The sequence below is a fragment of the Homo sapiens genome, chromosome X (genome assembly GCF_000001405.40).
Source record: "Homo sapiens chromosome X, GRCh38.p14 Primary Assembly".
Taxonomy (NCBI): Eukaryota; Metazoa; Chordata; class Mammalia; order Primates; family Hominidae; genus Homo; species Homo sapiens.
In genome coordinates, this window is record NC_000023.11 from 134,721,801 (window position 1) to 134,735,670 (window position 13,870).

At 43.1% G+C, this 13,870-nt stretch overlaps 1 protein-coding gene across 4 annotated transcripts in view; it reads right to left on the reverse strand.

The window, feature by feature from the left end:
• PLAC1 (placenta enriched 1) overlaps window positions 1-13,870 on the reverse strand; it is a 198,485-nt gene that overhangs the window by 155,963 nt on the left and 28,652 nt on the right. The window contains exon 2 of one of the 4 annotated variants that reach the window (NM_001316887.2): window positions 11,635-11,719. The exons of 2 other annotated variants lie outside the window; for them this stretch is intronic. The gene's annotated coding sequence lies outside the window, so the exon portion shown is untranslated. Of the gene's footprint in view, window positions 1-11,634; window positions 11,837-13,870 lie in introns of those variants that run through there. One more of the 4 variants, NM_001316888.2, reaches the window with a different exon arrangement.

A 13,870-nucleotide genomic window follows, 5' to 3' on the forward strand; every position in this document is an offset into this window, starting at 1 on the left:
TGCAGTGAGCCGAGATCATGCCACTGCACTCCAGCCTGGGTGACACAGCAAGACTCCGTCTCAAAAAAAATAAAAATAAAAATAAAAAAAGGCAGATAATAACAGGAAGTGTTGGCAAGGGTGTGGAAGAATTGGAACGCTCATACATTGCTGGTGAGAATGTAAAGTGGTGCAGCTACTTTGAGAATGTCTGGCATTTCCTCAAAAATTTATAAACATAAATTCCCATATGACCCAGTAAGAGAAACGAAAACATGTGCCCACCGAAAACCTTGTAAATCAATGTGTTCTTTTTATTATTTTAGAGATGAGATCTCTCTGTGTTACCCAGGCTGGGCTTGAACTCCTGGGCTCAAGTGACCCTCCTGCCTCAGTCTCCTGAGTAGCTGGGACTACAGGCACATGTCATTGCACTCGGCATAAATGAATGTCTATAGCATTGCTATTCACAGATAGCCAAAAGATGGAAACAACTCAGATGTCCATCAGCTGACAAATGGATAAAGAAAATTTGGTATATCCATACAATGGAATATTATTCAGGTATAAAAAGGAATGAAGCACTGATTCATGCTACAATGTGGATAAACCTTGAAAACATTCAGCAAAGTGAAATAAGCCAGACACAAAAGGCCACATATTACACGATTCCACTTACATGAAATGACCAGAATGGGCAAATCCAGAGGCCGAAAGATTAATGTTTGCCAGGAGTTGGGGCGAGGAGGAAATGGGGAGTGACTGCTAACATGTAATGAGTTTCTCTTTGGGGATGATGAAAATATTCTGGAATTGAATAGTAGTGATGGTTTTACAACTTTCTAAATATACTAAAACCACTTAATCATATAGTTTAAAGGTGTGCATTCTATGGTATATGAATTATATCTCAATAAAAAACGAAAAAGTTATTTTTGCAGGGAGATAACTGATTTTTGGTTTATAGCCCAGATGTTTATGGAATTACATGACAGTGCTATTATAAAACTTTTAAATTTTCTTCTTCTTACTTATGTAAACAAGTTTATTCAGCCCTTAAATATATTAAAAAATTAGAAATAGAATTGATGCTGAAAGGTGAGAGCATACAGTCCAAGCTACTCAGGAGGCTAAGGCAGGAGGACTGTTTGAGTCCAGGAGTTTGAGTCCAGCCTGGGCAACATAATGAGACTTTGTCTCAAAAAAAAAAAAAGACGTGATTCTGAATACTGTCTCTTTCTAGCAATAAGTATTATTTATCCTAGATACCTGAAAAGAAAGTCCCATTCATTTCATTAAGAGATATATTTAAATAAAAATTTCCTTTTCACAAGTAATAATTATTTTTAAAAAACTTTAAATATACTTGTTTTGATCACTGTGTATAATAATCATAATAATTCTAATAGTGCTTTATGGTAAAAATCAAGTATAAATCAATTTCAATTTATAAAGCATATTTTTGTTACAGAGAAGTCACATAGGGTGAGAATTTTAAGCCTTACCTTTTAGGTATAAAATTGTATTACTTTTTTTTTTTTTTTTTGAGACAAGGTCTCACTCTGCCACCCAGGCTGGAGTGCAGTGGCAGGATCATGGCTCAGCGCAGCCTCAACCTCTCAAGCTCAAGCGATCCTCCCAACTCAGCCTCTGAGTATCTGGGACAGTAGGCACGCACCACCACACCTGGCCGATTTTGTAAAATTTTTGTTTTGTAGATACGGGGCTCTCTCTATGTTGCCCAGAGTGGTCTTGACTCCTGGCCTCAAGCACTCCTCCTGCCTTAGCCTTTCAAAGTGCTGAGATTACAGACATGAGCCCCAGCTCCCAGCCAAGAATGTATTACCTTAAGATAAAATTATCTGAGGAAAGTGGACTAGAAATACAGATTCAAGGAGTAAAATGTTAAATGTTTAAAAAAGATCTTCATGTATTTTAAAATAAAATAATGGTGGGTAAAAATGACTTTGCTATTTAGATTCCATTGAATACCTTTAAAAGAGTGAAGTAATTGCATTTCAAATGCTGATATTTACAACAGATTGGAAATAAACATCTTTGCAACCATTTATGCTTATAATTTTAAAATTGCATGATGAAAGCGTTTAAGGGGACACAGTTATTAAAAGACCAGGGAGTGCTAAGAATGGCATAATATCACTTCTCTGATATTCCTCTCAAAAAACGTGTAACCTCAATCTAATCATGAAAAAAAAAAACATAAAACAAATCTAAATTGAGGGACATTTTACAAAGTAGCTGACCAGGATCTTAGAAAGTGTCAAAGCCACAAAAGACAAAGACTGAAGAACTGTCAAATTGAAGGAGGCTAATGAGACATGACAACGCAATGCCAGGTGGGATCCTAGATTGGCTTCTGGAACAGAAAAAATACATTAGTGGAAAGACCGGGAAAATGTGAATAAACTATGGTTTAGTCAATATTATTGTGCCATTGTTAATTTCCTAGTTTTGATCTGGAAACTGTGCTATGGTTAACTCAGTTAACATTAGAGAAAGCTGGATGAAGGGTGTTTAGGAACTATCTATCTGCACTGATTTTTTTTCCAAACTCCTCCACCAGTTCCCTCACTGCGTGCCAACATGATAAGGCCCTCAGAATCCTCTTGCATGAAATAGCGACAAGCCAGGTGCATTTTTCTTTCTGTGGGTCTGCATTGTGCACTGAGAGGATGCTCACATCTTCCTCAAGTGCACATGTTCAATTTCTTTTCTTTTTCAAAAGGGTGTTTTCCCTGATTACAAAAGCAATATAAACTTCTTAGAGAAATTCTGGAAAACAAAGATAACTACAAAAAAGAAATTAAAAATGCCTGCAATTGCACCACCACAATGAGTATGTTGGGCTATTTCCTCCCAGTCTTTTTCCATGCATATATACATGATTTATGGGTTTTTTCTTTTAATAAAAACAAAACTCGGCTGGGTGCAGTGGCTCATGCCTGTAATCCCAGCACTTTGGGAGGCCAAGGTGGGGGGATCATTTGAGCCCAGGAATTCGAGACCAGCCTGGGCAAGATGACGAAACCCCATCTCTACAAAAAAATACAAAAATTAGCTGGGCATGGTGGAGTGCACCTGTAGTCCCAGCTACTTGGGAGACAGGTGGGAGGATCGCTGGAGCCTGGAAGGCCGAGGCTGCAGTGAGCTGTGATCGTGCCACTGCATTCCAGCCTGGGCGACAGAGCGAGACCCTGTCTCAAAAAAAAAAAAAAATTCCCACTTTAATTGTAAACATCTCTCCACATCACACCATATTTTTACCTTTCTGAGCCCCAGTTTCCTCAGCTGAAAAATAGGATTATAAAGTTGTTGTGAGGATTAAGTAGATTAATATTTGTGAAGTTCTTAGAATAATACCTGGTCCGCAGTAAGCTCTTAATAAATGTAAGCTATTATCATGAATGTCACTGTCACCCAGATTCCTTCTGGATGACCAACCATTTTTATATGGCCTGTGGGTCTTAGTTTAGTGTCATGGCTGTTCCCTCACTTCCCGTCCCCTCCCCTTACCCCCTCTCTTCACTGGAGTTTAGAACTTGCCCCAGGTTATATAGTGGGAGAGCTAGGCTTCCAACCTAGGTGGTCTGTGTAGGGAAGTAGTTCTCCAGCTTGAGCACGCATTGCAGTCACCTGGAGAGCTTGTTAAAACACAGCTGACTGGGGCCTATCTCTAGTTTCTGATTCAGTAGGTCTAGAATGGGGCCCAAGAATTTGCATTTTTAACAAGTTCCCCGTGACACTGAGACTGCTGGTACCTGAACTACACTTTGAACATCACTGATATATAGATTCTGCACTCTTAACTGCCTTACTATACTATCTAGGTCATTCCCCTGTGAAATCCTTTGTTGACTCCCTCATAACCTTCAAGATAAAGCACAGATGCCTCCTTAAAACATGCAGGGCATGCCAGGCACAGTGGCTTACGCCTGTAATCCCAACACTTTGGGAGGCTCAGGTGGGCGGATCGATCACCTGAGGTCAGGAGTTCGAGACCATCCTGGCCAACATGGTGAAACCCTATCTCTACTAAAAATACAAAAATTAACCAGGTGTGGTGGCGGGTGCCTATAATCCCCACTACTTGGGAGGTTGAGGCAGGAGAATAGCTTGAACCCAGGAGGCAGAGGTTGCAGTGAGCTGAAATCATACCACTGCACTCCAGCCTGGGTGACAGAGTGAGACTGTCTCAAAAAACAAGCAAACAAAAACTTGCAGGGCATTTCATGATCTGGCTTTATTTAAATTTCTAATCTAATCTCCTTTGGAACCCTCCATACACCCTATGTCCATCCTCCAAAGCTATTTTTCCGTCTTAGAATGTATCAGAATATACCAGAAGCTCCTTCTGGCTTCTGTTCCTTCTCACTAGGATGTTTGCACCCTCACACACTCCTTTGGCCAATGATGCTTGACAAATTTATTGTGCTTTAAGGTTAGAGATTCATCTCAAGCATTACCTCCTGCTAGAAGCCTTATAAATTCTATTTCCTACCCCTACTCGAAGCTGGAGTGAGGGGTCTCCTTGCAGATCCAGCTCCCTGGCCTTCCCTCAGTCACACTTCTGCTCTCACACTACTGTAATTTTCTATACATTACTTTCCCTTATAATCGGGACCTGTTTTATTCATCTCAGTATTTCTAATGCCTGACACTTGGTACATAATTGTTGAATGAATGTATAAGGTTGATGCTTAAGGAATATTTCAAGAACAAAATAACAATATTAAAAACTTCCTGGCCGGGCGCTGTGGCTCACGCCTGTAATCCCAGCACTTTGGGAGGCCGAGGCGGCCGGATCATGAGGTCAGGAGATCGAGACCATCCTGGCCAACATGGTGAAACCCTGTCTCTACTAAAATACAGAAAATTATCTGGGCGTGGTGGCATGCGCCTGTAGTCCCAGCTACTCAGGAGGCTGAGGCAGGGGAATCACTTGAACCCAGAAGGTGGAGGTTACAGTGAGCCGAGATCACACCACTGCATTCCAGCCTTGCGACAGAGCAAGACTCTGTCTCAAAAAAAAAAAAAAAAAAAAAACTTCCTGGTGAAAATATGGAGTCAGGAAGGGCAAACTACCCGTTGCTCTAAGCCTGCCCCAGTGTCACAGAATTTATTGACCATATTTTATCCCATTACCTACCTCCCTTTCCCCCTTTCTCTCCCTCCTCTTTACCCCCATCCAGTGCTGGAGACACTCTGCCCATGCTCCTCAGGCTACCTTACCAGTCCTTCTGGCCCAGTCTCTGATTACCTCCCAATTTCCTAAGGCTTCCTCCTTTGCTCGGAGAGAGAGCCTCACATAGGCACCCCTGTCTCTGGTAACACCACAGGACCTAGACAACTCCGGTTAGCAGGGGTGTGCTCCCCCTCCCTCAAAAGTAGGGAGGCTTGCAAATAGAAGGAAAGGGCTAGTGGCATCTCTCTCAAGTGACATGGATTTCCATTCTCCTTCTGGATTGTGGCTTATTTCACTAAAAAGGGAGCCTTTAACGCCTCTTAGAAGAGTGGAATGCGTTCTTCTCTCATGCCATGTAAATCTCTCATTTTTTTCTCATTCTGACATAAAGGCAGATAATGAATGCTGATTTGCCTTGTAATTTATGAGTTATTTGAATAAAGGTTGCTCCATGAAGATCTAAGAGGCATCAAGACAAGCTTCATATTTATATCTTGCTTCTCTTAATGCCTGGCTTTAAGTTTCATCAAAAGAGTTGTGGGGCAGCCAAAGCAAACAGTAGGGGGAGTTATACTTTGCAAATTGTAGCTATGAGATAGGACTGGCCAACTCTGGTAGAAGTTCAAACAGAATATGTCACTAAACAAATAACTACTACAACAAGCAGCAACAACAACAAACGCTCAGGAGGACAGAGAATCTGATTTCCAGGATGCCACCTTATAATATTCAAAATGCCCAGTTTTCAACAAAAAATGTATGGGATCTGCAAAGAAATAGCCCATACAAAGGAAAAGAAAACAATCAATAGAAACTGTCCCTGAGGAAGGCCTGATGTTGGACTTTTTACACAAAGATTTAAATCAGCTATTTCAAATAGGTTCAAAGAGTGAAAGGAAACCATGTCTAAAGAACTAAAATATGAGAGTGATATCTCAATAAACAGAAAATATAAATAGAAATTATTTTAAAACAACCAAATAGAAATTTTTGAATTAAAAATATAATAACTAAAATGAAAAATTCACTAAAGATGTTCAATGGCGGATTTGAATGGGGAGAAGAAAGAATCAGCAAATTTGAAGATACTTATATTATCCAGCGTGAGAAACAGAAAGAAAAACGAATGAAGAAAAATGTCAGAGCCTCAGACACCTGTGGGACACCATCCAGCATAACAACGTACACTTAATGGGAGTTTCAGAAGGAGAGGAGAGGAAGAAAGGAGTATAAAGAATGTTTGAAGAAATAATAGGCAGAATCTCCCCAAATTTGATGAAAAACATTAACCTACACATCCAAAAAGCACCACCAACTCCAAGTAGGATAAACTCAAAAATGTCCATATCTAGATACATCGTAATCAAACTGTGACAAGCCAAAGGCAAAGAGAATCTCATAAGCAGCAAGAGGGAAGTGACTCATCACATACAAAAGACCCCCAATAAAATTAACAGTTGATTTCTCATCAGAAACCATGAAGACCAGAAGCCAGTGTGATGACATATTCAAAGTGCTGAAAGGCAAACAACTGTCAACCAAAAATTCTATCCCCAACCAAACTGTTGTTTAAAATAAAGGAGAAATGAAGGCATTCCCAGCTAGATAAAAAGTGAGAGTTTGTTGCTAGGATATCTTCACTACAAGAAATGATAAAGGGAATCTCTCAGGCTGAAATGACGGGACACCAGATAGTAGTTTGAATCCACAGGAAGAAAGAAAAGAACACCAGTAAATTTAATATTTAAAGGTAAATGTTAAAGATTTTAAGGTATTTTGTAACTCCCTTTTTTCCTATCTGATTGAAAAGACAATTGCATAAATCAATAATCATAAATCTATGTTGATGGGCACACAATGTATAAAGATGTAATTATGATGCACATTTTTATAGATGAGGAAACCGAGAAATGGGGAGGTAGTGTACCTTTCCCAACATCACACCTCAGTCAGGAGGCAGAGATGATATGCCTGTCTGATTGCAGAGCCCATAAGTTTAAACCCCTTGCTATGCTACTATGTAAGGAAGAGCCGTGGGCCTCTCCACGTGGCTGCTAGTTGGGCTGTTGGAGGAAACTCAAAACATCCTGCCTAAAAAGCTCCTTGAGAACAGTTCTTCCTTCATAGATTTCTCCTGTATTCCTCACAGTGTCCCCAGCACAATGCTAGGCACACAACAGACACTCAATAATTCCAGTTGAATTGAGTTTCTCTAAAGTGACCTACTTAGTTAAGGGACTTAAAAGAAGAGGTAGCTTTAGCAAGGAAATGATAAGACTAGATACCATTCATTAAGTGCTTCCCATTGTACCCGGCACACAGGCACTCTGCTAAGTGTTTATATGTATTCAAGTTATCTAGATCTACCCACCTAAGAACCCTGTGAATTATGTACTATACTTATCTTGTTTTATAGAACGAGAAAACTGAGGCACCACGCATTGAGTAACTTATGAAAAGTGCCACAGCTAGTAAGTAGCAGAGCTAGAACACGACCCCAGACAGTCTGACTCCAGAGCCCATGCACTTTCCATTTGACCGTGTCAGGGGCAGCTGAGACTTTTCCAGCTATAGTTTCCAAACGGGACTGACACTCAGAGCCAGGAGTATGATTTCAGGAGTGGCAGAAAGGTGCCTTCTCTCAATCTCTCTTTATTAATCCACCCACCTGCTGGCTGATGCCTGAAATTCCACTGTTGGGGTTCTTGTCCCCTGAAACAAAGGCCCAGAAAAGAGCATATGAGCCATTATGATATTCTTTCCATAGAGAAAGGTGTTTTCTGTTTCTTTTTCTTTCTTTCTATCTTTTTTTTTGTTTTGTTTTTCGAGACGGAGTTTCGCTCTTGTTCCCCAGGCTGGTGTGCAATGGCTTGATCTTGGCTCACTGCAACCTCCACCTCCCAGGTTCAAGTGATTCTCCTGCCTTAGCCTCCCAAGTAGCTGGGATTACAGGTGTGCACCACCACACCCGGCTAACTTTGTATTTTTAGTAGAGACGGGGTTTCACCATGTTGGCCAGGCTGGTCTCGAACTCCTGACCTCAAGTGATCCACTTGCCTCAGTCTCCCAAAGTGCTGGGATTACAGATGTGAGCCATCACACCTGGCCCCAGAGAGACAGTTTTGTTGTACACATGTGGACAGCACATGAAGATGCACTCTGATCCAGGGGTGAAAGCACAAGCACATGAGGACCTGAAGGCTCCATATGAGAGAAAGGTGTGAGCTTGCACACTGCAACAGACAAATGTTACCATTTTTGAGAGGGCCAGCCTTTGTCAAGAGAAAGTCATTGCTCTGGAAGCTCTTCTTCACAGCCAGCATTGAGTTTCTGAGAAGGAAAGTGTTTTATGTGAGAGTTTAGAGCAAGGTTTCCCAATGGGAGTGGGTGCTGAAATCCCTAGAGTTGTCTATTTACCACAGAATTCATTCATACTCAATAGCTATGAATAATTACTCAAGATGAATTCTTTTTTTTAAGAGATAGGGGTCTTGCTCTGTCACCCAGGCTGGAGCACAGTGATGCCATCATAGCTTACAGCAGCCTCAAAATCCTGGGCTCAAGCGATCCTCCCGCCTCAGCCTCCCAAGTAGCTAGGACTATAGTTGTGCGCCACTATGCCCAGCTAATTTTTTAAAAATTTTTTTGTAAAGATGGGGTCTCATTATGTTGCCCAGGCTGGTCTCAAATTCCTGGGCTCAGGCAATCCTCCTGCCTCGGCCTCCCAAAGTGCTGGGATTATAAGCATAAGCCACGGTGCCTGTCCCAAACTCCTCTGATTGTCAATACTGTTATTGCTTCCTGGGAAATAACTCCTGTCTGACTGTAAAGTAAGAGAAAGGGGGCGAGGAAAGGATGGAGCCGCCTCTTGGTATGGAAGTTGCAGCTGAAGGAAACGGCAATGGGGGAAGTGCTGTTGCCTGGGCCTGGCTCTGTCCTTGATGGCTGTGTGACCTACAGCAAGTCTTTCTGGCCCTTCCTCTCATCTCCCTCAGCTTCACTTGCCTTCTATATGTTGATGGTGCCCATACCTGTATCATCCTCCTAAAGCTCTCCTCTGAGTGACAGAGCTATTTTCCCACGTGAGGCTGAGAGCTCCTCCAGAGAACACTTATGAAAAGAAACATCCCTTAGTTTTACACATTTATCTATAAGAATATGAATATTCCTGCAGCCTGACTTCACAACCTATGCTCTGTGCTACATTGTTTTTAATTCCAGCACCACTACTTTAGAGCTGTGCAACCGAGATGAATATGCCCGAGCATCAGTTTGTATCTCTATAAAATGGGGATATAATTGTACCTACCTGTCACATGAATGCTTTTCACTGTGCCTGGCACATATTTAATGCTCAATATAAAATGCTCAACTTTTGAAGGTGAATAAATGAGCAATGGTTGGATTTGATTCCCAAATTCATGTTTTTGTCAATAGATTAGGTTCTTGCTCCATTTTTGAGACATTTAAATCAAATAATCAAATAAAAGTCCATTCAAGCATTAGCAACAGCCTTCTCATCTAGACTACAAGCTAGACTACCCTAGGGGCCTGCTCATGAACTTGCAAAAGTACTTGGCCTAGCTGGAACTTCATGAATGCTATCTAGCAATATCGTAGGCCTACTACTGCCGGGGTAGAGCAGAGAGATTGGCACCATCTGACTGGAGACTCAGTGTGGTCTATTTGGTGGGATTTCTGGGGCATTGGGAAGCTCTGCCCCTGTTTTCCCAATCACACCCTTCTGATTCCTGAAATTCCTAAAGTGTCTTCTGATAAGACTCAGTCCAAAAATATCTACACTATGAGTTCTTATCCCAGCACTATGGCCTCCATCCTTGGGAGCTTTTGCCTCCTTGAGACACCTGTCAATATACAAGTATAAAAAATTACCCGGGATTGATGGCAAACACCTGTAGTTCCAGCTACACGGAGGGCTGAGGTGGGAGGATCATTTCAGCCCAGGAGGTCGAGGCTGCAGTAAGCTGTGATTGCACCTGCAAGTCATGCCCCAGGATCTTACCAATGAACTCCCAACTTGTAGTTAATTCCTTAACAGGGCTTGACAGAGTGGGGGCACACAATGGCAACATGAACTAGAGGGATGCCTTCCATCAGTAAGGGGAGTTGTGCAGATGGAGGTGGGGGCTGGTGTGTACATCCTCTGACCCTACCTCACTGCATGCAGCCCTTGTGTCCCTTCCTCCAGATTTCCTAAAGCTCCAGACAGAAATTAAATCCAGCATCTGAGAAGCCCAAGATTAGGCCATCAAGTCATATCAATTTGAGCTAATGGGTGCAGAGGAGGCTGTTCTACATGATGGACCATTTTTCAAAGAGATACAGTTTTATGACTGCCCAGCCGGTACAGTAGCATAGAACTAATAGCTAACCAAGGGCTGCCAAGTTCCAGGCCTGCCAGATCTGTTTTAATCACAAGATAAGAACCATTCATAATTAATGCATTTGGTCTGTATGTGGGCTCTACTACACTCCTCGCCAACAGTTTGTTCCCTGGGTTGTGATGAGCATGTGCCCACGATGCTTACCCCATTTTTTAACAGGATCTCAAAAAAACCCCAATCTTTATGAAGCCCAGCCCCTGAAAAATGCTCTTAAATGCTGAGATAGGGCCATTCAAAGCAATGACTGAGGTTTGGCTGTTGCCAGGTTATCAAAAAGCACGACTGTGGGCGAGGAGAAACCTTGAGCTTTATTAGAATGAAACATCAGCCTCCTGAGTCAGGAACGGATCCTACCTTCCTTATCTGCAAGGAATATGTCCAATGTCCTTGCTAGGAATATGTACAACGTTACCCAAACATCAGCTGAACACATTGTTTTTGTGGGCATCAAGTGGAGAGTGGGAGGTAGTCAGAGAAGCCAGAGATGCAACTCTGTGGTTACTTAACCAGCTTGGAGTAAAAGACGTTCCCAGCAAGCTGGGAAGAGAGACGGCGAGGGGCCCACACCACTGCTTCCTAATACTGCTGGGAATAGACACCCACTGCTGTTTCCTCCCAGGAAAAGTGAATGAACAACAAGGATCCTGTGTGCCTTCTCCTGCCATGGTACACACACTCACACACCCCCTCATACACAAGTCCTTTGTTGAGCCCTGAGGCAGGAAATGGGAAATTCAAAAGGAAGAGCCTGAGAAACCATTTTATTTCATTTCAGGGGGCTTCTCACCATCCCTTGAAGGAGGCAGCCCCAAGTGATATAGACCAGAACCCCTCTCACAGAGTCTTAGTTCACATCCTAGATATAAAACAGAGAACTTCCGGGGCTTAGAAGTTTTGTCTGTTGGGGGAAATCTCTGCAGGCTCAAAAAGTAACCCAGGGTTGGCCTTATGGGTGTGGTGGATTTGTGTTTCAGTGAAGTGAACACAGAAAAGAGGTGAGTATATATGTACACACAGAAATCACAGGAAAAAACTCCAAAAACTCACTTGTGCTAAGTCTTGAGGGCCAGTCCAGCAGAAAGATACTTGCCTTTCTCCTTCAGACTTCGTTGTCAGTCTCGTTTTCTTTGTCCTGTGGAGTAGCGGGGAGATTTGGAGTTCATGAGGATGGACGCACAGGCAGTATGTGCCCCAAAGCCCTTGACCAGGCAGTAATGGGGGCCTCAGGAATAGCTAGGGCTGTTTCCTCAGAGAACTGGTCATGTGAAAGGACAAAGGCTTTGGATCCTCAAAGGGCAAGAGGATTCCAGATGGAGCAAAAGCTTAAAGGCAAATCTGAGCAGGGTGGGTTGGCAGGGGTGCTGGGGATGAGGATGAGGCCTGGTTTGAACAGAAGGCTCAAGGCTGGGAGCAGTGAGAGGTGAGAGGGAAAAAAACCAGATTGTACTTGTCAGATACTGCAGGCTGTTGGCATGAGAGCGTTCACTGCCCTTCCCTTAGAAAAAAAAAGATGTTTGCAGACCGATGTGATTTTATGAACTGCAAGCTTTAGGACCCTGTCTGTTTAGTGGCCTCACCTCTGGGGAATAAATCTCTTGTCTTCAAAGATCTGTAGGGGTCCTAGGAAACCTGATTGAAGTTCTTTCCTGGATGAAACACAGTAAACCAGGACAACTGTGCCTGATATCCCACAAGTAAAACAAGGAGGTCTGTGCCTAGCTGTGCCTTGTTTGGGAGGGGAACATTCTGGAGGGAGCCACAACTCCCATCTGCTGCTCAGCCAGCCCTCTCAAATGTGTTGTTAGGTTGAAGGTTTAGAATAAATCCTCCACGTGAGTTTTCTCCAAACTCCATCCAGGGCAAACTTCCACACTTAGCCTGTTGTCCTCAGTCCATTGGCAATGACCTAGGCCTGATCTCAGAGGCAAAGCCTGGCTGGTTTCGGGAGAACTATTAGCACTGGGAACGCATGGGGCCGGGGGGCTCCCCACAGCTCAGCAGACCCAGTGCTCCCTTTCTCTGCTCTTGGGACCTGCAGGAGTTAAAATGCAGGCTTAGTCCCCCACTCCACACCTGCAGAGAGGACAGCAAGCCTAATCTGCCCCCAATGGCTGGCATACAGGGGCCTTATTCACAATTCACTGTGTTTCAAGGCCTCTCACAGGCTGCTCTTCCATGGGCCTCTTTCTAATGACTTGCTACCGCGAACAGCCAGGCTGCTCTAATCTTGAAGATAGGTCTGAACCTCCCTCCCTCAGCACATTTTTAAGGAATGGCGTTCCCTCCCCTCTCTCTTTTTTTTATCATCATCAAAATATATTCACAAAACACCCACATCTCTGTCCATGCTATAAATCAGGGTGGGGAACCTCTGGCCCACAGCCCAGATCTGGCCCTCAGCTTGATTCATCTGGCATGTGGGGGATACTGTACTTACTGCCACAGCTGCAACCCAGAGAATAATGCCTCCCTCCCCACCACCTCCCACCCCCTGGACTGCTGGGGCCATCCCCTTCCAAATGGAGCCTCGAAAATAGCCAGACTCAGATGGGGGGTGGTGGCTCCTGTGGCTATTTCAGTTGCTATTAAACAGGAAATGGGACTACAAAGCCAAGGAGGTGATTTTCATAATGAGAAAAGTCACCATTCTGTGACCATTTTACTAATTTCCAGGACTGGGCTGAGAAAGCATATCACCTATATTTTCTTGTTTAACCTTCCCAACCCTTTCGCACTAAGAACTTTTGTTTTCATCTGGAGGGTAGGAAGCAGGGGCTCAGGAACCTGCCTAGTGCCACGGCTATAAGGAGCACAGCTGGGGATCAAATTCAGGCCCAGCTCACATCACAGCCTCTGTAACCAGTAGCAATCTCTGTAACCTTACTGGCTGCTGGATAACTTGGAGGTGCTTGCTCTTGCAATTTTTGTCTCATATCTTTTGCTTGTCTCTGCAGTATATGCAATAACCATGTGGTTGTTCTGCAGTGACTATAAATTCTACTCCACTTACTTGTGTGACAACCTCTGCTCTAAAGATTTGTTAAAAAAAAAAAGAAAGAAAAGAAAAAAGAACTGGAGAAAGAATTAGAGGGTCGAAATAGTGTTTAACAGACTACTTAGAATTTTAAAAGGCAGTAAAGCTCTTCTCAAGTCCAGAGCCCAAAAAATGGATTTGCCAGGAGGAGTTTATCACAAATATTCCCCTTTTCTATTTGCTGATATAGGTCATGGCTAGCAGGGAAGAGAGAGAGAAAGCAAGAAAGAGAGAGGAAGAGAGAGAGAG